The sequence below is a fragment of the Homo sapiens genome, chromosome 9, assembly GCF_000001405.40.
Source record: "Homo sapiens chromosome 9, GRCh38.p14 Primary Assembly".
Taxonomy (NCBI): Eukaryota; Metazoa; Chordata; class Mammalia; order Primates; family Hominidae; genus Homo; species Homo sapiens.
The window spans coordinates 109,889,145-109,912,209 of record NC_000009.12 but is presented as its reverse complement, the minus strand read 5'-3'; the positions used below and the strand labels follow the sequence as shown (position 1 = coordinate 109,912,209).

Below are 23,065 nucleotides of genomic sequence, written 5' to 3'. Positions count from 1 at the left end.
ACCTCCTTCCCAAACCCCATCAAACTTCTTCGGCTGGAAGTTCACACCCTCCATGTTCTGCTCCCACCCCTTTCCAGCCTTATGCCTTCCTGTCTTCAGCCAAGACCTCAAACTGCTCCTGACAAAGCCAGGAAGGACTCCCCACTCTCAACTCCATTGTCTGAAAACAGATATCATAATAAAAGCCCAAATCAAATTACATCTCTTTAGGAATGTTTTCCATAATTCCCCCAGCCCCCCAACCCAGCCTGGTATGTTCATTCATTCTGATTCTCCACAGCATTTCTAACTTTTGGTACACTCTGCCTTGTATTAGAGTGTTAAAAATATATTTATCCTTCCCAACCCTATCTATACCTTCTCCCAAGTGCAGGCTTATTAAGAGATAGGACTATATATTTTGTGTTACTGTACCTCACATTCTTCCCTGTACATACAGATGCTCAATAAATATTTGTTGAGTGCATAAAAAGCAAAGCTACCCAAGAACATGCTTCTAAAGGATTCTATAGTGAATGTAACTTGGAGATGGTGATAGTAAATGTAATTTTTAAAATCTTGGCTTGGTTTTTCTACTTTCCCCTCAAATATACAAATTTAGATATTCAGTGAGAAAAAAGAACAATATTGGACTGATTTATATCTTGATCTAAGTATACAGCTGGGACATGGCAGCACTTTTCATTATTGATGGTGATGTAATCATATTGAAGCCCAAATACAAATAAATGAAAATTTCTCTCTCCATAAGTGTGCTTCAGCCCATGGAGACACCAGCTTTTCTCTCCTTTTCATGTGTATTTACTCCATCTGGAATCACATGACTCACACTATCAGAATCTGTGCAAGTGGATTTCCGTGTAGGAAATCATTTCCAGGCTTGAGCTGAGCACTGATTTCTTTGTTGTGATTCTTATTTGAGTCTGTTTCATCAGAAATAAAGAGTTTTGATTACAGGAAAGTGAGATTATTTCATTTCAAAGCAGTACTTTTCTCAATAGCTTAAACCCCCTCCTTTTCCCCCTAAAAATGTCCCTTTTTTCTAGGAAGAGAAAAAGTCCCATCCAGCCACACCTTCTGACCTCCAGCCTCTGACTCAGACTGTCTGTTGAAGGCCAGCGCCTCCACCCCTGCACCTGAGCTTGTGCAGACTGATCTGGGAGGATACCCCATTAACTATCCCCTCTCCCCTGTGTCTTCACCTCTCTCCAAGATGCCTCCTTCCTGCTAGTCAATAAACAAGAATTATCTCTTTCCATACTAAAAATAAGTGAACTTCTCTTGACCCTGCATCCTGTTCTAGTTGCTGCTGAATCCCTCTTCCAGACTTCCCCAAGGCCAGTCATCTCTTACTGCCTCAACATCCTCACATCCTGACCCCTCCTCAGCCTCAGTCCCTCTGCACTCACCGCCCTGCTGCGTCTGCTCCTAGTCAAGTCCATGCCTCAGCCTCAGTCCCTCTGCCCTCACCGCCCTGCTGCATCTGCTTTTAGTCAAGTCCATGCCTCAGCCTCAGTCCCTCTGCCCTCATGCCCTGCTGCGTCTGCTCCTAGTCAAGTCCATGACTGCCACGTCCAGCGGACCCTCTTTGGTGTGGATCTGTTTGACTTCTTCGTTTTTAAAAACATATTTGATCACTCTTCCTCCATGATGAAGAGACCATGACGCCATGTTCTCCATATGGGCACCTCTTCTCCTACTCTACCACTAAAGGTTTATTTGTTTTATTGTTCTTATTGATTAACATTTAATTCTTGGCTACTCATGTCCAGCCTCATGCTTTAATTCCTACCGAACATGCTTAAATCTATCCAAACTATATCTTCAGCATCTCTCCTGAACTCCAGCCTTTATGTACAATTGTATTTTGAATGTCTCCACCCGGATGGTCCACATACACAACATATACAGGACCAAACTCATCTTTCTCCATAGAGCTGCTCCTCCCTATTCTCTAGCTCAGATGCTGGTACCACCGTTAATCCATTCTACTTAGGAGGGAAACCTAGATGTTGTCTTCACCTCTGGCTTGACCCTCGCTTACTATCATCACGTACATGTATCTTATTAGTCACCAGGTCAACTAAGTGTCTTATTAGCCACCAAGCCAATTTGCCCCACAAATCTCTTTTCATAGCTGCTTCTCTTCAGCCCTAGTATAGGCTCTCTCCTAAATGCCTGCAACAACCTTCTAACCAATCTCTCTGCTTCTATGCAGCCCCATCACCCTAAAATCCAGAATGTGCCTAGACACACCACAATAGCACTCCCCTGCTGAAAACCCCTCATGGGCTCTCTGCTAAAGCTCATGGATATGACACACTCCCAGCCTCTCATTTACCTGCAGAAATGAAGATTTCCTTGTTTGGCTCAATGACTTTGCTCATACCACCCCTCTGCCTGGATTGCCCTTGTTCTCTCTCTTCCCCTTCCCATGGGTAATTACTACTCATTTTTAAAGCATCTGCTCAGGTATCATCTCTTTATGGAAGTCTTCTTTGGACTTTTCCCATGAAGGTGCTCTTCTTCTTTGCTGCCATATCTCATGGACATATTTCTACCACCAACTTTATCCCACTGTATTTTAATCACTCATTCATGGATTTTGGGCTCCCTTCCCTAACTCCAGTTTACAAACCTCTAGAGGATAATTACCATCACTTTTTCATCTTCCTTTGATGATGGCTTCTAGCATCTAGCTGGCCTGTATCTAGCAAGGAACCTGCCTCATTGAAAGTTCTCAGTAAGTGTTGGTTGAGTAAATGACTGTCTCAATGAACACATAAATTGTTTCTCAACTGGAAGTAGCCTCAAGCAGACCTTCCGGCTCAGTTCTTTCAGTCAAAAATGAATCTTAAAAGAACAAATTCAAATTAACATCAATCCTGGACTTAGTAAAAACAACAGATTAAAAAGAAACTGGTCTTATTTGCTTTCTCTGAAGCAGGAGGATGCAGAAGGTAACTGCTGTGTGGCTCTGTACTCTTTACCCCAAGTTCCCCAAATATACAATTTCATCTAACCCCAGGTGTGTGTGTGTGTGTGTGCGTGCGCGCGTGTGTAATGTACTATTCTTATCTACTATGAGGTACTCTTATTTATTCTCACCTAAATAAAACCATAAGTAGAAGATGCACAGATATGTAGGAATTGGGCCAGAATGATGGACAGTCTCAGCATTTACTTCATTTTGCCCTGTGACGCTCTCTGAGTTCACCCCTTCATGCAGGAAGCATCTGGGCTTTCATACCAGATTGTGAAAATTGTTTATGTGGTGCATTCCTCTCTTCCAAATCCCTGTTTACTCATTGTGCCTAAATCCAGCGCTCTGTGATAGCTTTCCTGCTGAGTTAGATTTTCCCATCGGCCTCTGTGTGTGTGTGTGTGTGTGTGTGTGTGTGCACACGCATCCATACAGCCTCAGCCACATCTTTCACAAATGCCCAAACTGGGAATAATCACCATATTTTTGCCTGTTGTCCATATTGGAGGTTACTCTGGAGAGACTGGTAGTGTTTTCAAGACGCATGAGTTAGTATCTCAATGAGTCATTCATTGAAAAAAAATTAACGTCAAACAACAGGGGTAAAATAGTTCACATTTACTGAGCATTTACTGTAATAGACAATGCCAGATGATATGCTAAATGGTTTGTAAGCATTATTCAATTCTTTGCACTTGGTAAAATATCTACTACTGTTATTCGCACTTGACAGATGAAGAACTTGAGGTTGAGAGAGTTCAAGCAACTTATGACCTTCCACCAGTAAGTGGCAGAGCTGGGATTCAAACCCAGGTCTGCTTGTAGCTAGAGCCTAGAATATTAACTGCTACCCTGCAGTGTGTCCTGCCTAAGAGCAAATGAAACCACTCCCAATCCAAATGTTTTCAGCATTTCCTCTTTTTGGGGTAGATTTTTCTTTTCCAACATCTTGATCAAAGGGAGCTGCTGTGGTTTAAGGAGAAAGCTGACTGGGAGCTCCTGTCACTCCACCCCTTGCCTGGCTTGGTCTTTCCATAGGATACACAGGATTTGGAAATCACTGCTCTATGAAAGCAGAAACAGCATGTATTGCTATGGCATCCACAGTGCCTAGAAGAGTATTTGCACACAGCCTGTGCTCAATCAATATAGTTCTAAAAGGGAACATTCTCTCTTGTGGTCACCTACAGCATGGATTTCCCTAAACTACCCAAAAGGACACCAAAGAATAAACAGCACCTCTGACCTTTGAGCCATGGACGGCAGAATGATATCTATCCGGAAGGTAGAGATGACGACTTAATTGTACCTGAAACAGAGACTAGGAAGGAGGTCGGCATGGGGTGCTATGGCAGTGGCTGGGAGGCTTCCAACTGATCCAAACTGCTCTTCCTCAAGAGAACTTTGTCTTGGGTTTTGTTTTGTTTTTTGCTAACTGTGTTTTCCGTGCTTGACATTACCAGGTGACAGCTTCTCCTCAGTGGAGAAATTTGTCATCCCACTGGGATAATTCCAGAGTTATTGTAAGAGTTCCTGCTCCCACCAGATCAAGCCAATCAGGAAGCTCCTCCACATGGGTTGTGCCGGGCTGATTGTTTCCCGCTTGGCTGCTTCCTGCTATTGTTCTCTGTCATGTTCTCAGAGGCGCAACTACTGAACCCTACCCCTTCCTCTCAGAAGCTGAGGGCTGCATCATGGCTTTGGGTCAAGGTATACTCGGCTCAGAGATCAAGGCATCTGGCAGAGAGAGAAAGGCCTGAAATGAAAATAGAGGCAGGCAGTTCCTGGCCCAGGTGACCAGAGCAGAAATCACAGAGCTTAAAACACCCAGAAATATGAGTCTTTCAGGTCTTGGAAGGGAAGTTTGAAATGTTCTGGGTCACTCATTCATGTTTATCGAGCATTATCAAGCAAGTGTTGGGCTATATTCAGTAACAGCTGCCCAGTCTCTACTTTTGAGAAATTCATCATCTCATGAGGGAGGAAGCTATATGAATAGTTACAATGCAGTGCACAGTAGAGCTCAAATTGCAAGACCAAAATGCTGCAGGAATGCAAAGAAGAGAGTCTGAGTAACTCTGCTTGTGGGGAGGCAGGGCAGGATTTCAGGAGGTTGGAACATGTCAGTAGGATCTTGAAGAGAAAAATGATCAAGGCATAGAGGTGTTCAGACAGCATTTCAAGCTAGGATGATAACATGGACAAAGGGGCTTTGATGCAGAAATGTGCAAGGCAGGCTCAAGTGAGTGAATGAGGACCTCTGTAGGACTGGCCTATCTGAGTGCACTCATGAGGGAAAGAAAGTGACAGGGAGGATCAGGCTCAGGATATGATGGCTCTTGAATGCCACACTAATGAGTCTGATTCGGAAAGTAACAGAAAGCCATTTGAGTTTCTTGTTTGTCTGTCTGCCTGTTTATGTGTTTGCTTTAAGTCAGTGATAGGATTGGCTATGTTCTAGAAAGACCATGTGGACAGATGTGAAAAGAACGGATTTGGATGTATGAAAGGGTTACAGAGTGAAACCATAAAGAACAATTAGGAGTTGTCCAAGCAAGGGATGGTGAAGCCAAGCTTAGCATGGACTACTGTGGGAAGCAAGAAGGTTCCATTTATTGATTTTTATAGTATAATGATGTTGACAACTTCCTAAGCTAACCTTTTTGCATTTGTGTGGCTGCACAGGCTGGGCTGAAAAAAAGTTGGCAATATTAAAGTGTAAAACTATTGCTGGGCACAGTGGCTCATGCCTGTAATCTCAGCACTTTGGGAGGCTGAGGCAGGTGGATCGCTTGAAGTCAGGAGTTCAAGACCAGCCTGGCCAACATGATGAAACCCCGTCTCTACGGAAAATACAAAAATTAGCCAGGCATGGTGGCACAGGCCTATAATCCCAGCTACTGGGGAGGCTGAGGCAGGAGAATTGCTTGAACCCAGGAGTTGGAGGTTGCAGTGAGCCGAGATTGCACCACTGCACTCCAGCCTGGGTGACAGAGCAAGATTCCATCCCCCCTACCCCCGCAAAATTGTAAAACTATGACCAGAAGTAGATTGAGGTTGCCCAGTGACTAGAGATTGGCTGGGGTTGGTGGGAGCCCTGGATTTTCCTCTTCTTTCCAGCCCACCTCTCAGCCACTTCCATGTGATGGCCCAGCTGTCCCAGGCACCACGGGGCACCTCTTCTTGAGGAAAAGAAGGAAATGCAACGTAAACTGACCATTTCTTCTCTTTTTTGTAAAAAAGTTTATTTGTTTATTTATTTTTAGTAGAGACAGGGTTTCGCTATGTTTCCCAGGCTGGTCTTGAACTCCTGGCCTCAAGTGATCCTCCCACCTCAGCCTCCCAAAATGCTGGGATTACAGGAACCTGCCACCATCCCTGGCCTGACTGTTTCTTCTCCCTGTGATCATTTATGGTAACGTGTTGGCCAAGGCATGAATTTGAAGCTTGAGGCCCTAATTTAAGATGTCCCAGGGACTGAACTGATATCATCTGAAGTCCAAGGACAGCCTGGCCCCTTAACCTACTGAGCTGCATTACTGCCCTCACCCGGCTGCAGCAAAACGGGGCTTGGGGTAGCCGACTGAAGGATGGTCATGGAGTTTGAGAAATGCTGAAACTTTTCTCCTGTATGGCTGAGAAACTGAGTCAGCATCTAACGCTGCATCCTGCATGTGCTGCGGGTAGATCGCCACCCTGCACTGTTGGTTTCTCACGGGCACAGTCGTTGCATTCTCTCTGGCATCTCTCTGCCTTTTTCCTGTCTTAGATAAAATAGAGACATTTTGCCTTACAAATGGCAGTGAGAAGGGCCTTTGGGGCCCTTTTCTGGTGGTACAGATGGTGTTGAGGCAGAAGTATCTGTATCCTGGCCCTGGCTCATGCGTGCCCCCTGGGAGGCTGGACAGGGACAATGGCCTCGATGGCTGAGTCCACCTGGCCTGAGTGCAGAGAACACTGAGCTTCAGGTGTTGAGTGGGTAGGTCACTGTCCCAGTACATTTATTATGGGAGTTGGAGACAAAAACTTTAGGAACTAAAACTAAAGTTTAAAATATTCTTTGGTGAACTTTATCCCTATAGACTTAACAGCCCTAATTCTATTTTACAACAGCTATTATGTCGAGAATGATGCAGATTTCTCAGTTTTCAAATCCAAAATGTTCTGTGAGGGTAGAATTTTCCTTACACCCAGGAGACTGCAAATTGGAACCTCCAGATACAAAATGATTCACACGCAGGGATCAAAGCCTGAGGGGTAAAGCAAATTTCCTTAAGCCAAATTTTAAAAGCCCTTTTACAGCACAGAAGTGGCTTGCATAACGTCCAAAGAAAAACAATGCCACTTAAAATCCACCCAGAGACTTATGCTTTTAATTAAAGCCCTCTGTCACAGAGATGATCTGATAGTCCACTTGAAATGTGAACTCTTGGATACAGAGATAGTACATCGTGCTCCAGAATAATAATTTTAAAAAACAGCCTGCCTCTTCCCGCTGGCTTGGCTTATGTGAAATCAGCACCGGCCACCTCTGTGTTCAGCAGAGGTCCCACCCCTGAAGTTGTCCTACCACATCCATCATTTCTAAATCCTGAGACTAAGGGAGAATTACCTGCTGAAAGCACACAGCAACTTCCCTGGAACCCTCAGCTATAAGAGAGTTCAAGACAGACTAGATTTGTTTTAGAAATAGTACAGGCATCTCGGTATGAGACGTCTCATGCAGAGGCAATGACCTGGGACCTGCATAAATGTTTTCATGTGAATGAATGAATGATCACAAGCCTCCTGAGCACATAAGAAAATTATATTCCCATGAAACCCAAGTCATAATAATAATAACAACATTTGTGTAATGCTTTAGAGTTTACAACATCCTTTCACAGCAATTAGGGATTATTTTATTCCCATGTTATAGGTAAGAAAATTGACAGGAAGGCAAAAGGGAATCTAAACACCTTTCATGCTGCAATCTGATTTTCTCCTCAATCTATAAAATGGTTATAATGATGCATATGGAATACCTACATCAAAGTTATGAAGCTTAAATGAGCTAATGTTTAAAATACCTCAGAACACTGCCCGCCTCCATGGAGCAAGTACTATTCAAATGTTTGTGCTTCCTTTCTCTTCCAGTGCTTTAAAAAAATTTAATTTAGAAACAAGTCTGTTAAATACAGCATTTATAAGATAAACCAAAGCATACTATTTAATAGAATAAATTCAAATTCATCTTAATATGTGCTTTGTGGCCCACAATATTCAGGAATATCTGTAGATTCTGATGTTAAACTGATTTTCCAGAGAATGAGAATACATTCTATCATTTGAATGCCAGAAGGAAAACTAAAGTGTTGATTATTGGCTTCAAGGATGGTAAAAGTTAAGATTGTGTATGCACATGTGTGTCTACATGTAAAAAAAAAAAAAAAAATCCAGAAAATCTGATGCAAGTTCGCTATGTGGGAGCGGCTTATGTGCACATGGAGGGCCATCTAGTGGCAGGTGAAGTCATAGTTCCCTAACTGAGGTAGCACATGTGGGAATTTAGGTAAAGCTGGGAGGAGACAGCTGTGATTCTGCTGATTTGGTATTGTGTACTTAGGAGGAGAAAGTTCATTAAATGTCCACAACACTGAACTCCTTGTTCCCTTGTTGTTTTCAAAGGAACAGTGCACTTGCCCTTAATGCTGTGTGCAAAAATATCCAGCTAAGCCATGTAACCCAGGAACAGGGAGAAAAAGTGGTTGGGAAGGTCCAGGGATTCGGGCCTTCTAGAAGTAGTGGGCCTATGTGAACCATCTTCATTGAGATCATCACTTTAGAGGGGGCACCTAATAAATGGGTTGCAGTAAGTGTCCCCAAAGATCAATTATGAACAACCCAACCAGTGGCCCTGTGGTCCAGTATGGCCAACCCCTCCCGGTACGCATATCCTCCCTGCCACCAAAGGCCAGTCTCGGTGCTGATGTGAACCCCAAGGCTCATGGCTCTCCTGCTTCTGAAAAGCAGCAGCAAGACCCCGCACAGCATGCTCCTGCAAAGTGCTCTTCCTCCCTGCGGCTGGCTCACCATGCTTCTCCGGCATGTGTGTCCCAGGCCCTTTGCTCAAGAGCAGCTCTTTCACCCGTGCATCTGGTAACCCAGTGACCTGGGCCAGGAGTGATATCTGGCTCATGAGCTCAAGCAGAAAAAGGTGTCCATGAAATCTCTGAGGCTCCAGAGACTGGGGCCTCTGTCATCTCAGCAATGCCAGAAACCAACACAAGGACCTACATAAAGTAGACCTGGGTATCTGTGGGACTGAGTGAGAACTGAGTAGGGACCGGCACTTATGGGCATGCACACTTGCTCCTTCATGTTCTCTTCTCACTTGGACCAGAAGGGCATAGATGTGTTCCACATGGACAGGGAATTCCTCCCAGAGCAGGCGTCGGTCATATGTATCTTTGGATTTCCAAAGTCCAAGCAGGGCCAAGGGCACAGTAAATGTCTGGAAACTGACAGTTAGACTCTGTCATGTGGCCATGAGGTCCTCTACTCTAAAAGCTAACTGAGAAGTGGCCAAGGCACTGAATACATTCATCAATGCATTCCACCTTTCAACGCATTGAATTCAACAGAAGTAGCACTTACAAAAGAAGTCAATGCTGACACATCTCACCTAACAAAGTGCCACTAGAAGGGCTTCCTGGAGTATCCAGCTACTTTTACTTCATTACAATGATGGCTCACTGTATGGCCTTTCAGGGGCTCAGTAAATTGAGGGATGGCTGAATTGACGTCATAATGAAAGAATGCTGCTGTTCTGATTATATCCCTCCCATGCTCCCATGGAGGCTCTGCCTCTGGCCAGAGAGAAACGGGAGCCACAGAGGACAAGCTCTCTGATGCTGTAAGGAGAGAAAGATGAAAGGGTGCTATAGAAGCTGGGAACTCACTATGCGCTAGGCACTGATGAGACACTTTACATATATTAACTTGATTAAGATTTACAACAGCCAAATGAGATACATATCATTGATTCCCACTTTGCAGATGGGTGAAGTAGCTTGCCCAAGGTCCCATGTAGTTAATGAGATGTGAGGCTGAGATTCAGATGAGGTCAGTCTGATACTGAAAAACGTACCCTTTTCGCTGCATCTGTAATAAGATCCTGCTCAGTCTTTGGGAACCCTGGGGAAAGAGAAACCCTAATCTGTGATAGAACTCTATTCAGATCCAAGATATTGCTGATATTTAAAAAAAGAAAAAGAAAAGGAGACAGCGGATGCAGCAATGCTTCTCCCTGCAACTCTCCAGAGCCGTGCGCTGCTTCTGTCTGATTCTTTCTCTGGCCCAGCCACGATGATCTTGGGATTTTTGAATGACTTGTTTTATTTGCTTTCTGGTGTTCTCATCCATCCTCTATTGGTAGATTGTCTTCCTCAGTCTTGCCAAATTCAACCAAAATGAGTGGCCTGCCCAGCTGGTTCCCAGTCTGCCCTTGACTTCTCTACCTCCTGCCTTGCTCTAATTGTGACATTGAACCAGCATCCTAACCTCACAACGGCCTTTATTATACCTCTGAAACTTCTAATAGTGTTCTGTGGCCTCTGGGATAAATTCTAAGTCCCTCCACTTAGCATTCAGAGGCCCCTGTGAGCTGTTTCCAATCTGCTATTCTGACTCTTCTCCAGAACTGCTTCTGTGGTTAGGCCTGAGATTATCCCATCTTCAAAGAGACAGAAGATCCTGCGAAGAACCTCCCTTTGGCTGGCCATGCCTGGACTGTTTCTCCTAATGGACAGAGTGACTCAGTGAAAGCAGGAATCAACTGTGTCCTCCCTGTTTCCACACTCATGTCCGTTCCCAGGGAGAGACAACATACCAGAGATAGTGACAACCTCCACGTGGAGCTAAGCCCCTCTCAGCTGTTTACAACAGGTGGCTGAGCTGAGAAGAGCCAAATAAGCTTGGTCTGCATAGAGTATCTGTAACAACCTGCTGACATTGCCCATTTAGCAGTCCAACTCCTAGGTGGTCACAGTTTCCTAATGACAGCATTATCCAGTAACTCAGGTCCAGTTCTGGAGCTGGGATACTACTTGAGGCTGAAAGGGCCAAATCTTCACTGAGGTCAAGGAAGGACCCCCATTTTCCAGTCTGGTTCCACCTAATGATATCCAGGTACATTTGCTCCATCTCAATAGCAACCATTCAGTTCATATCCCAACATGGCTTCGTAGTTCATTTCCTATGAGCTTGAAACTCCCTTCCAATTAATTGAGACATACTGAATTTGATTTACCTTTTACTTTTTAGAAGAAGAGACCATCACTGATTTAAAAGATTCAGGTATTAAAGGTTCTGGGTGCAGACCAGAATGTTCTGTCTGAAGTCAAAGTTAACTGTCTTTTGGTGGTAAGAAATATTTCTTGGAAGGAGATCTTCTAATGTCAAATGATGGGACTCAAGTACAATAGAAACGTCAGTCCAGAAGCTTCAGGAAATCTCTGAAAACTCCAAATTAAAAAACTCTAAAGGCTTGCCTCCCATTATTATTGGGTAGATTATAGGTCTTGTGAGGGTAATGACTGTCATTTTCATCTCTGTATCTCTAATTATGCTTGGCCTCCAGAAGAAGCACTTGATTGAATGATGAATACATTTTAGAAAGATTAACTCAGCCAAACACCACTGGGGTAAAAGCCCAAATCCTAAGGTCCTCCATGGTCACTACTTTCTTGAATTTCTACTATCTTGAGGACAAGTATGACATCTCTCAGTACTTGTTTACCCATCTATTGGGTGCCTAGACTGTCAGATCTGTAAGAGCAAGGGAGATGATTTTACTTATTTTCTGTAACTCCAATGCTTTGCCATTGCGATGCATGACACTCAATGGATACCTACTTAATCATTTTGACTCAAGTGGATGTTATATCAACCAATTTAGAGCAAGAATTGTTAGCAAGAATGTTTGTTCATGGCAGTACTTGTCTATACTTCTCAGTAAATGTCAAGAAAACAATCTCCTTCCTTTAGTTTCTTGTCATGATTGCATGCCAATCAGAGTAATTGAGACAAAAGCTGAACTTCCCACTGGAAACGCTTACAGAGAGAAATATTACAAGCATTTATGTCCAGAGTATCCATGGGCATGTCATCTGCACTTTTGTCATTGTTTTCTTTCTTTATGTAAATATGTTTGAAAACCCATTGAGCCTGGCAGTGTACTAAGATCTGAGAATACAAGGGTGAACACTGTAGTGTGTTTACCCCTAGGCAGCTGAGGCTAGAGGAGGATAGAGAAAAAAATCAGCTTCCAATGTACTATGACACAGTAAGCTCTAAGGTAAATATGCCCACAGGAAACATTAAACCAGGGTTTAGGGCTCAGGGAAAGTGGTATCTCAGCTGAGACTTGATGGTTCAGTAGGAGTTAACCACATAAAGAGCAGCTGAAGAACGTTCCTTGGAGAAGGGACAGTAGATCCAAAGAACGGGACACAGACAGAGCTTGGTACATCCAAGGAATGGCAGGTAGTTGCTGGAGTGGTCAGCAATGGAATGACACAATTATGAGAGACAAGGCCAGAGAAGTAAGAGGAGGTCACATCATAAAAGACTCTCTAAGCTAAATTAAGGAAGTTGAACTTTATCTTATAGTCCAAGGAAAACAGGTAAAGGGTTTGAAGCTGGAGAGTAGCATCATCAAATATGAACTTTGAAAGATACTTCTGCTGGGTGGCAGAGGTTAGGTCAGAAGGACACAACACTAGGGGAAGGGAGACTAGGTGAGAAGCTCTTGCATCAATCCCCATGAAAGATAATGGTGGCCTGGACTACTGTCATGGAAGTGGGAAAGAAAAAGTGTAGAAGGAATCAAGAATCCTTTTATTATATAAAATTACTGATTAGATAGAGGATTTGAAAGGGTGAAAAGAAGCAAGGACAATGTCCTGATTTCAGACTTGGGCAACTGGGTGCATGGTGATGTTTTTCAATGAGATTAAGAATCAATGAAAAGGAATCAATCAGAGAAAGTAATGACTAATGAATTTTTAGCATGCTGAGTTATAGGTGTCTGGGGGGATCCAAATGGATATGGTTAGGGGGCAGTTGGCTATATGGGTAGGTCTGGAGAAAAAATTAGATCAAAGAATGCCTATATTTCAGAAGCCATGGGAACAGACAATGTCACTCAGAGAATGGGAGAAGTGAAGAAAGGAGCCCCAAGTCAAGAACCTCAAAGCACCAATATTTCCCAGATGGACAGAGGAAGGATAGTGTCATCTCAAGTAAACAAGGAGAGAGTGTGTTTCAAGAAGAAATAGGGAGCATTCAGCAGCTTCCGTTGCTGCTCAACAGTTGATGAAAGTGAGGATTTAGAAGTCTCCTTTGCACTTAGCCCCTAAATAGTCACTGGTGATTTGGCAGGTGTAGGAGAGTGAATGGGACATAGAGACGCTGCTCCAAATATGGGGGAGGAGGAAGGGAGAGTTAGTGCAGAAGAAAAATGGAGTCAGTGGAGTTTGGGATGGGAAAGTGTTTTTTAACAAATGGCTGTTCCAAAGTCAGTTAGAAATTCCTAAGATCTTCATAAAGTATAGAGACTTGTTTTTTATCGAGACTCCTAATGTTTAATCTTCAGATTGATTTCTTAAAAGTGCAATAATTCAACAAACAATAGTGAGTATGTCCTAATAAAGAATACTCAGTGCCTATGAATTGAACATGAACCAGTCCAGGCAAGACTGTTTATTATTTATGTGTTTATTTCTAACATATATAAAATAAGAAGCATGAATTTAGCACTCTGAAAAAAAATGTGTTTTCAAATGTCTGAGAGAGGTCTTTTGAGAGCTGCTTCCTTATCTGTAAAACAGTCTGGAAAGAAAATTCAGGAGGATGGAAGTGTGTAAGCACATGTTTGTGCACAGGTGAAGTCTTATTTGTACTTGAAATATTGGGAGCTTGACCTTGATGTTGCTATAACCTGGGGCAGGTGCGCAGAGTACAACTGTTGCAAGGTGAATAGGGTACCACTGCTACTATGTGATCTTTCATTCATTCTTTCTTTTTTTTCTTAAACGACAACAACAACAATAACAACAAAGTTGTTCTCTGATTAATTCTCCTTTGAGAAGAGAGAAATCCACAAATAGATTTCATAGAGCAGTTAAGTAAATTATATTTTTGCCCTCTTTAACTGTAAGTCTTCTTGGTTTGTTAATGTAATTACCTATAATTTATTTAATGCAAATCCTCATACACTGGTGATAAAAAAATTTAATCCAAACAGTAAATGGGCTTCTCCACCTTGTTCAACTGAACAAGCTGGTATGAAACACAGTGGAATCTTGGTGAGAGGATAGAGGAGATGAACAATATGAGACACAAAAGTCATTTCTAAAAATGTGATTAGGAATCCTGCCCTGTCTCAAAACAATTAAACTGTAAATCTATACTTGCTTTTCATATTGAATGAAGTGAATATGATTCGGAGCATAATTCAGAATTACATGAAACCTCCTTCTAATAAATGCCTGGTGAAAAAATTTGGTCTGAGAATCATTCCATTTGCTTGAAGCAAATATAGCATTTGGGTCATGATAATAACAGCAGCTATCGTCATTGTCAAATACTATTTTTTTTTTCTTTTTGAGATGGAGTCTCCCTCTGTTGCCCAGGCTGGAGTGCAGTGATGCAATCTTGGCTCACTGCAACCTCTGCCTCCGGGGTTCACGCAATTCTCTGTCTCAGCCTCCCGAGTAGCTGGGATTACAGGCACCCGCCACCATGCCCGGCTAATTTTTGTATTTTTAGTAGAGATGGGGTTTCACCATCTTAGCCAGGCTGGTCTTGAACTCCAGAACTCGTGATCCACCTGCCTCAGCCTCCCAAAGTGCTGGTATTACAGGCATGAGCCACCAAGCCTGGCTGCCAAATACTATTTTAAGCAATTTATACATGTTAACTCATTTGCCCCTCACACTAATCCCCAAAGTATACCTTATGATTATTTCCATTTTGCAGATGAGGAAAATGAGGCACAAAATCTTAACTAATTGGTTCAAGGCCACATAAGTGACGAAGGGAAGAATGCTTACTCTTAACCCTCAACTCTATACTTATGCTAGGTTGGTCCCAGAGCTTTCTGCTAAAAGGTTGAGTGGTGAATATTTAAACTTTATGGAAAAATCCACATTTTCCTGTCACTATAATTTGTTACCTAGCATGGGATTCATATCTAAAAAGAGGCAAAAAAAAACTTGAAACTAATTACTGGATGAAGCAAAAGATAGCTGGAACTGAACATTTCAGTTAGGATATTTGAAAACCAGTGAGATTTTGCCATCTGAAGAGAAGCCTGAGAAGCATCTGCATAATGTTCTTTCGAACATTTAAATTAAATAATTAATTATTTTTTGGAGACAGGGCCTCGCTCTGTTGTCCAGGCTGGAGTGCACTGGCATGATCATAGCTCACTGCAGACTCAAACTCCTGGACTTAAGTGATCCTCCCGCCTCAGCCTCCCGAGTAGCTGGGACGACAGGCATGTACCACCATGCTTGGCTAATTTTTGTATTTTTTGTAGAGATGAGGTCTCACTATGTTGCCCAGGCTGGTCTTGAACTCCTGGGCTCAAGCAATCTTCACGCCTCAGGCTGCCAACAAACTGGGACTACAGGCATGAGCCACTATGCCTGGCCTGAATAATGTTCTTTATTAGAGCTGCATATGACTCCACTGCACACAGGACGCACTTGGAATCTAAGTGCCACCTTCCTTAAAATATGAAGATGCCCCTTCTGACTCACCACCAGTATGAAGTCATGCTTCCTCCCTGCCAGACTCTATTAATATTTGATATGGTTTCGTTGTGTCCCCATCCAAATCTCATCTTGAATTATAGTTCCCATAATCCCCATGTGTCATGGGAGGGACCTGGTGGGGAGGTAATTGAATCATGGGAGTGGTTACCCTCATACTGTTCTCGTGATAGTGAGTTCTCATGAGATCTAATGGTTTCTTTTTCTTTTTCTTTTTCTTTTTGAGACGGAGTTTCACTCTTGTTGCCCAGGCTGGAGTGCAATGGTGTGATCTCGGCTCACTGCAACTTCCGCCTCCCAGGTTCGAGCAGTTCTCCTGCCTCAGCCTCCCAAGTAGCTGGGATTACAGGTGCCTGCCACCATGCCCAGCTAATTTTTTGTATTTTTAGTAGAGACGGGGTTTCACCATGTTGGCCAAGCTGGTCTCAAACTCCTGACCTCAAGCGATCCACCCAACTCAACCTCCTAAAGTGCTGGGATTACAGGCATGAATCACAAGGAGATTTTCCCCCCTTATGCTCAGCGCTTCTCCTTGCTGCTGCCATGTAAAGAAGGATGTGTTTGCTTCCCCTTCTGCCATGATTGTAAGTTTCCTGAAACCTCCCCAGCCATGCTAAACTGTGAGTCAATTAAACCTCCTTCCATTATAAATTACCCAGTCTCAGGTATGTCTTTATTAGCACTGTGAGAACAGACTTAAATACAATATTGTCATGGCATATGACAGCACTGACTAAAAGAAAAGCCACTCATTTACAGAATCTCCCTTCCTTCTTTAAAAGTAAGAGAAGGTAAGTATAGTTCGACCTGAAGTAGGAGGCTGAATGAGCCCTCTGACCACATTTTAACCACAGTGGATCTTACCGAATGAAAAACCAAGTTTGACTTCTGCTTTCCCAGATCAAACAAATCTCTCCAGGCTGCCTCTTCTAGCCTGACAAAAATTCTTAGGATGTCCCGAGAGAGAGCAAATCTTATTGTCGTTCCTATTTACAGATTCAGCTGGGACACTGACTGATTTTCTCCAGATTACAAGCCAAGACATCTGTGTGGCTAATATTAAAATGTCAGTACCTTTGGTTCCCATCCTTTGCTTAACAGAGCAGCCCCAAGACCAGCAGACTCCACTGCATGGAAGGCCTGAGCTGCCCCCGCAAAGTCATGTTTATGAAACAGCTGCTTTCAAGGAAACCAGTCATTCTGAGGGCACTCATTTGGAATCTGTGATTCCCTGTCATGGGCTAAGATTTGCTTTTGCATTAGTTACAGGAAAAGAATGGTGGCTTTGAAAGAACACTGGGTTTTGTGCCAGGAAAATCTGACTGGCTGTGTCATTCTGAGAGTCCTGTGGTGTGTCCCGGCCTCAGGTTCTTCACCTCTATGATGGGAAGTGGTGTGGGGATAGGCCTAGTAGAAAGACTCCAAGTTCTTTTCTAGATTCAAAGGTAAATCTTGCAGAATGGTGGCAATGACAAGATTTAAACATTTAGGGAGGCTTGGCACAGTGGCTTATGCTTGTAATCCCAGCACTCTGGGAAGCCGAGATGGGAGGATTGCTTGAGCCTAGGAGTTCAAGACCAGCCTGGGCAACAGAGCGAGGCCGTGTCTCTCTTAAAAAAACTATAGGAAAAAAAAGTGTGGTCTTGGGGCACATAGTCATCTTTGCCATTTGGCTTGCTGCAATATTGCTCAAGATTTTATGGTCATGGACAAGGGTCTGATCCCAATCCATCACAGACCAATACTAGCACTCAGCCCACGACACATGCAGCTCACCACGTGAGTGCAACGACACTCAAACTTGTCTCTACCCTATTCAGTAAGATGGGTCCATTGATCACCCATTGGGATATCATATTGCTATTAAAGTTTCTAAACACCTTACTGGCAATTTCTGTCTTTGTCACAGACTGGTAATAAACAGTTGCCTGACCAGAAGCAGTCCCTGGACCATACTTTCAATATTACTGGGTTTGGCCACTTTTCTGTAATAAAGCAAGTCCCTTATGGACTTGAGCAGGACATCACTCAGACAACTTAGATGCATTTTTGTTTGTTTGTTTGTTTTTTGAGATGGAGTCTCGCTCTGTTGCCCAGGCTGGAGTGCAATGGTGCGATCTTGGCTGACTGCAACCTCTGCCTCCTGGGTTCAAGCAGTTCTCCCTGCCTCAGCCTTCCGAATAGCTGGGATTATAGGTGCCCGCCACCATGCCCAGCTAATTTTTTGTATTTTTAGTAGAGACGGGGTTTCATCATGTTGACCAGGCTGGGCTCAAACTCCTGACCTCAGGTGATCCACCTGCCTCGGCCTCCCGAAGTGCTGGGATTACAGGCATGAGCCACCACACCCAGCCAGATGCTTCTTTTTTTTTTTTTTTTTTTTTAAATAAGCAACTGGAAAGCAGAAAAGTGAACTTTTTTCCTTCAACTTTTATTTTAAAGTCTGGGGTACACGTGCAGGATGTGCAGGTTTGTTACAGAGATGAACATGTACCATGGTGGCTTGCTGCACAGATCAACCCACCACCTAAGTGTTAGCTACTCTTCCTGATGATCTCTCTCCCCGCAGCCCCCTCGACTGGCCCCAGTGTTTGTTGTCCGCACCACGTGTCCACGTGTTCTCATCAGAAGGCTAAACATTTTTTAAAATAACTGCTGAGATGGTTGGGTACAGTCCTCATGCCTGTAATCCCAGCACTTTGGGAGGCTGAGGTAGATGGATCACTTGAGCTCAGGAGTTCAAAACTACCCTGGCCAACACGGTGAAACCCCATCTCTACGGTGTTAATACAAAAATTAGCTGGGTGTGGTGGCACACAACTGTAATCCCAGCTACTCTGGAGGCTAAGGCACGAGAGAATCACTTGAACCCAGGAGGCAGAGGTTGCAGTGAGCTAAGATCACACCAATGCATTTCAGCCTGGGCGACAGAGTGAGACTGTCTCAAAAACAAAACAAAACAAAACGAAACCCCTGCTGAGATAACTCTAGCCTCTCACGCTTTTCAACTTGGTCTGCCCACAATTGGTCTGGATTCTTGTCAAATCCATCTATCATATTGTCCTATTTCTTCTGCCTTTGGATTTGTTCTTTTTCATCCTCTACTTCAGCTGATAGGCCCAGCAGTCCTGGAATTCCTGCTGAAGGCTGGCAGGTAGGTGGTAAACAGACAGATTAGAGCTGTTCCCAGGGCAGGAAGGAACCTGACAGTTGTTGGGGAGATGGGACGCTTCTTGGCCTTGTAAGGCAGTGGCCACTGCTCTCTCAGTGCTGCACTCCTAGCCTCCCTGCCTTCCTCTGCCCTGGACTGCAAAGGTGAGGTGTACCCCTCCAAGGCACCCTTGGACCTGGATGCTTACCGGGCCCGAGTTCTGGAATGCCATGCTAATCTCAGTGCAGTGACAGCCCTCTCAGCTGTTTCTGAAAGTGGAGAGGGAGTCTGATAAAATCAAACAATTTGAGATTGTTTATATATTGTACATTGTCATATCATTCTTTTATTTTTATAATAAAAGCCAAAACCTATTGGGCACAAAGTCCAAGACAGTTCTGGGTACTCTTTGCATATCTTGACTTAATAGTCACCCCTCCCCAATAAAGTTGATCTTTATTATTATTATTATTTCTTTTTATAGAAGAAGAAACTGAAGTAGAGAGAAGCTAAAGAACTTGCCTCAAATTATACAGGCAGCAAGCAGAGATTCTGAACTTGAACCCAGCAAGTATTACGCGGATGTTCATGCCCCTAACCACTGCCTTATACCATCTCTGGATATAAATGATGGTTTCTGAACCTCATGGCAAGCTTATGGATAAACTAAGGCTGAAACATATAAATTAAATTGAAAACTATTTATTGAGCAACCTCCTAGGTGTAAAACAGTAATCTAGGCACTCAGATATAGTACACTGAATGATGGCCCTAGAAAGATATGTCCACACCCTAACCCCCAGAACCTATGAATATGACCTTATGTGGATAAAAGGGTCTGTGTAGATGTAATTAATTTAAGGATCTTGAGAAGAGATTATCCTGAATTATTTAGGAGGGCCCTAAATCCAATGATAGGGGTCTTTATGAGAGACAAAGGAGAAGACACAGAGACAAGAGGAGAAGCCCATGTGAAGACAAAGGCAGAGATTAGAGCGACACAGCCACAAGCCAAGGAATGTCTGGACCCACTAAGCTGAGAGAGGCAAGGAAGGATTTGCCTCTAGATGCTCTGGGGAAAGCACAGCCCTGCCAGTATCTTGATTTTGGACTTCTGGCCTCTGGAGCTGTTTTAAGCCACGAACGTGTAGAAATTTGTTACATCAGTCTCAGGAAATGAACACAGTAGGTAACCAAGACAGTCCTTACTCTGGTGGAGTTTACATCTGAGAGATGTAATCTTAAGGAGTTATATCTTAGGGATGAACAGAATGTAAATGTAACATATAATGAAAAATGATAAGGAAACATTTACCTAACAACTCAAACCACATTGTCTTCACCCTCCATCCAGGGAGTTTTACCTGGACTGAGTAGTAATGACCACTCCCTTTCATATGCACCCATAGACCCTTTCATAACATCCATCATGGGAGCTACTCCACCATTTAAAAATTGATGGGTGATGGCCAGGCACGGGGATTCACACCTGTAATCCCAGCACTTTGGGAGGCCAAGGTGAGCAGATCGCTTGAGGTCAGGAGTTCAAAGCCAGCCTGGCTAACATGGTGGAACCCCATCATTACGAAAAATACAAACATCAGCCTGGCATGGTGGCGGGTGCCTGTAATCCCAATTATTCAGGAGGCTGAGACAGGAGAGAATCGCTTGAATCCAGGAGATGGGAGGTTGCAGTGAGCTGAGATTCTGCCAATGCACTCCAGCCTGGCTACAGAGTGAGTGAGACTCTGTCTCACACACACACACACACAAAATGATGAGTGACATGTCAGTGTTCCCCTGCGACCTGTAAAAGTCTTCATCTCCATCTCCTCAGACCTTACCTGACATTACTTAATAATGGGGGAAAATGGCATAACCTTAATGACCAACAAGAAGGAGGCACGTGGAGACCAAGAAGCCAGCAGGGCCATGGTGCATGCTTGTACAGAATGTTGTTGCCCAAGATGCTAGCCAAGGGAACAAAGGGAGGTGAAGTCCAGCCAGTGGCTTTCTAAGTGCTGCCTACCCTGTGGAACTGCATTTTCTAATTGCACAAAGGAGCCATGTGGCCCAGCAATGGCCCTGAATGCTACCGGTCTTTAAAGATGCCTGATCCTTCCAGCTAGAATCTGGTCAAGCTGGCAGCCCCATGCTGTACAGCATGGTAATGCTTAAAAGCCTTCCTCCAGGCACCCTGGCCAGGGGGACATTCTTTGCTGGCTGAATGTCCCTGTAATTTCACAGGTACTCTCTGTGCACTGGGCGGTATTCAGATATTATTTAATTTTTTCCTTTGCCTTTCTGCATAGGAGGAACAAACACAAGACTCTAGGATCCCTGGAGTGGTTTATTCCATTAGAGATTCTGTTTCAAAGGAGATAAAAAGGCTTGGCAGAGATGTGGGAGATGCTTCTGCAGGAAGCACACTGGTATCTCCTCACTCTGCGTGTGGCCTCAGGTGAATCACATTTAGGCCTCCATTCTCTGATTCTTCACTTTGCAAGTTTAACTGAATATGTACTCCAAGTATGCTAAAAAGAGTTTCCCAAAACAAGGACAGGAACCAGGATGCAGGCAGACCTCTCCTGATGAAACTACCCAAACCTAAGTCATCTCTTAGTGTGTAACCCTTTCCTCTCACCTGGTCTGAATTTCCCACTGTTAAGGTTTATACCTTTGGATGAGAGATCCAAAAAAATTCTTGATGTCGGAAGTTGCTTTTAGGATAGTAGAAGGAAGATGAGTGTTTTTTCTACCATCCTTGCATGCATTGGCTAAGGAGCCAAAATCCCATAATCAGAGACAGTTTGTATATTTTATCACCCGTTCGCTGTCCTGGAGGGCTCCACGCCTAGACCTGAGGGAAAGAGAAGCTAGGAAGGCTGGAGGAAGCGGGCCTTGATGAGTATCAAGCAGCCTCGGGTCCCACAGTACTCTTCCCTGTGGCCTACACAGTGAAAAGGGGAAACACGAAGTGGGGATTGTGCTCAAGAGATCATCTTGGCTCCGGGCCCTTGTGATGGATGTACCAAATAAGACCTCCATGCTGGAGAATCGCTGGAAAGGACTGAGACACCATCTTGTCTGCTGCCTTCAAAATGCATAATTCATGAAAACTGTGGAAGAGTATGTCAACAGGAAGCTTGCTGTTTTCATTTCATCAAGAATGTAGAACGGTTGGAAATGACCACGTTACAAGCCAGAGGGGCTATGCAAGGTGACCTAAAATTGGAAAAAGACTATTATCAAAGCTTTTTGTAGAGAGAAAACTTGGGGTGTGGCAATCATAGGCCAAAAAGCCTGGAACTGGCTACCAAAAAAGTTGACTTTGCAGAATTCCTTCCATTGCAGCAATTGTTCTGAGGGCTGGGAAATGCATGTATTTCCCAAATATGGCTCTTACATGGCCTCAGTGTATGGAAGAAATTCAACTACTATTTTCATAGTTCTGGGCACTATAAACCCAATTTGCCAGACCAATAATGAGATGATTATAATGGATCCTACAAAACCTGAGCGAGGCACGATGACTCTGGTACATCTGGCAGGCCTCCTGCTATTGTTGCTAAGTAACACACATGAAATGTTGAAATGCTGCACTGCAATTTCAGAGTGTTTCCTCCCTTACCTGTGCCAGCTTGCAAAGCTGACCACAAACCCTAAGCATCTAGATTTTTTCAGTCAGTGAAGAGGGCTTTTTCTGTGTGGTCCTTGGAGGATAGGGCAGGGACCAGAGAGAGGGTAGGAGCTGCAGGGAACAAAACTTTCATCCCAAAGGAGGATCCTCTGTAATAATTAGAGTTGTTCCAGTATATACTTGGGTTTTATTTTGCAAGTAAATGAGTTTCCTGTCACTTTCAGGCTTTGGGGAGAGACTGTTTTTTCACTCCCACTCATTACGTTCATTGCAAATTCAAGAATCAGATAGGAGTTGATCCGCATAACATGTCAGTTATGCATACTCTAAGATTCCATGGTTTTATGAACTGTCATAAAATTATTGCCTTTGCAAAAGCAGCACAATACTGAATGCAAAAACCAAAAAAGCAACTATTTCTTTTTAACTCTGAACAGACTTTCATGGCTCAGTGCATAAGAGAAGCCTTTTAT

At 43.6% G+C, this 23,065-nt stretch overlaps 1 protein-coding gene across 14 annotated transcripts in view, besides 3 other annotated features; it reads right to left on the bottom strand.

Moving 5' to 3' along the window:
* The window catches only part of PALM2AKAP2 (PALM2 and AKAP2 fusion), a 531,726-nt gene that overhangs the window by 260,303 nt on the left and 248,358 nt on the right, over window positions 1-23,065 (bottom strand). The window lies entirely within an intron of this gene.
* Window positions 4,937-5,006: an enhancer, noted in NCBI's record as "active region_28768". NCBI's record gives its function as "activates an Ori minimal core promoter by ATAC-STARR-seq in GM12878 lymphoblastoid cells {active_cell/tissue: GM12878}" and the evidence as "EXISTENCE:reporter gene assay evidence [ECO:0000049][PMID:35858748]".
* Window positions 5,087-5,166: an enhancer, noted in NCBI's record as "active region_28767". NCBI's record gives its function as "activates an Ori minimal core promoter by ATAC-STARR-seq in GM12878 lymphoblastoid cells {active_cell/tissue: GM12878}" and the evidence as "EXISTENCE:reporter gene assay evidence [ECO:0000049][PMID:35858748]".
* Window positions 18,512-18,671: an enhancer, noted in NCBI's record as "active region_28766". NCBI's record gives its function as "activates an Ori minimal core promoter by ATAC-STARR-seq in GM12878 lymphoblastoid cells {active_cell/tissue: GM12878}" and the evidence as "EXISTENCE:reporter gene assay evidence [ECO:0000049][PMID:35858748]".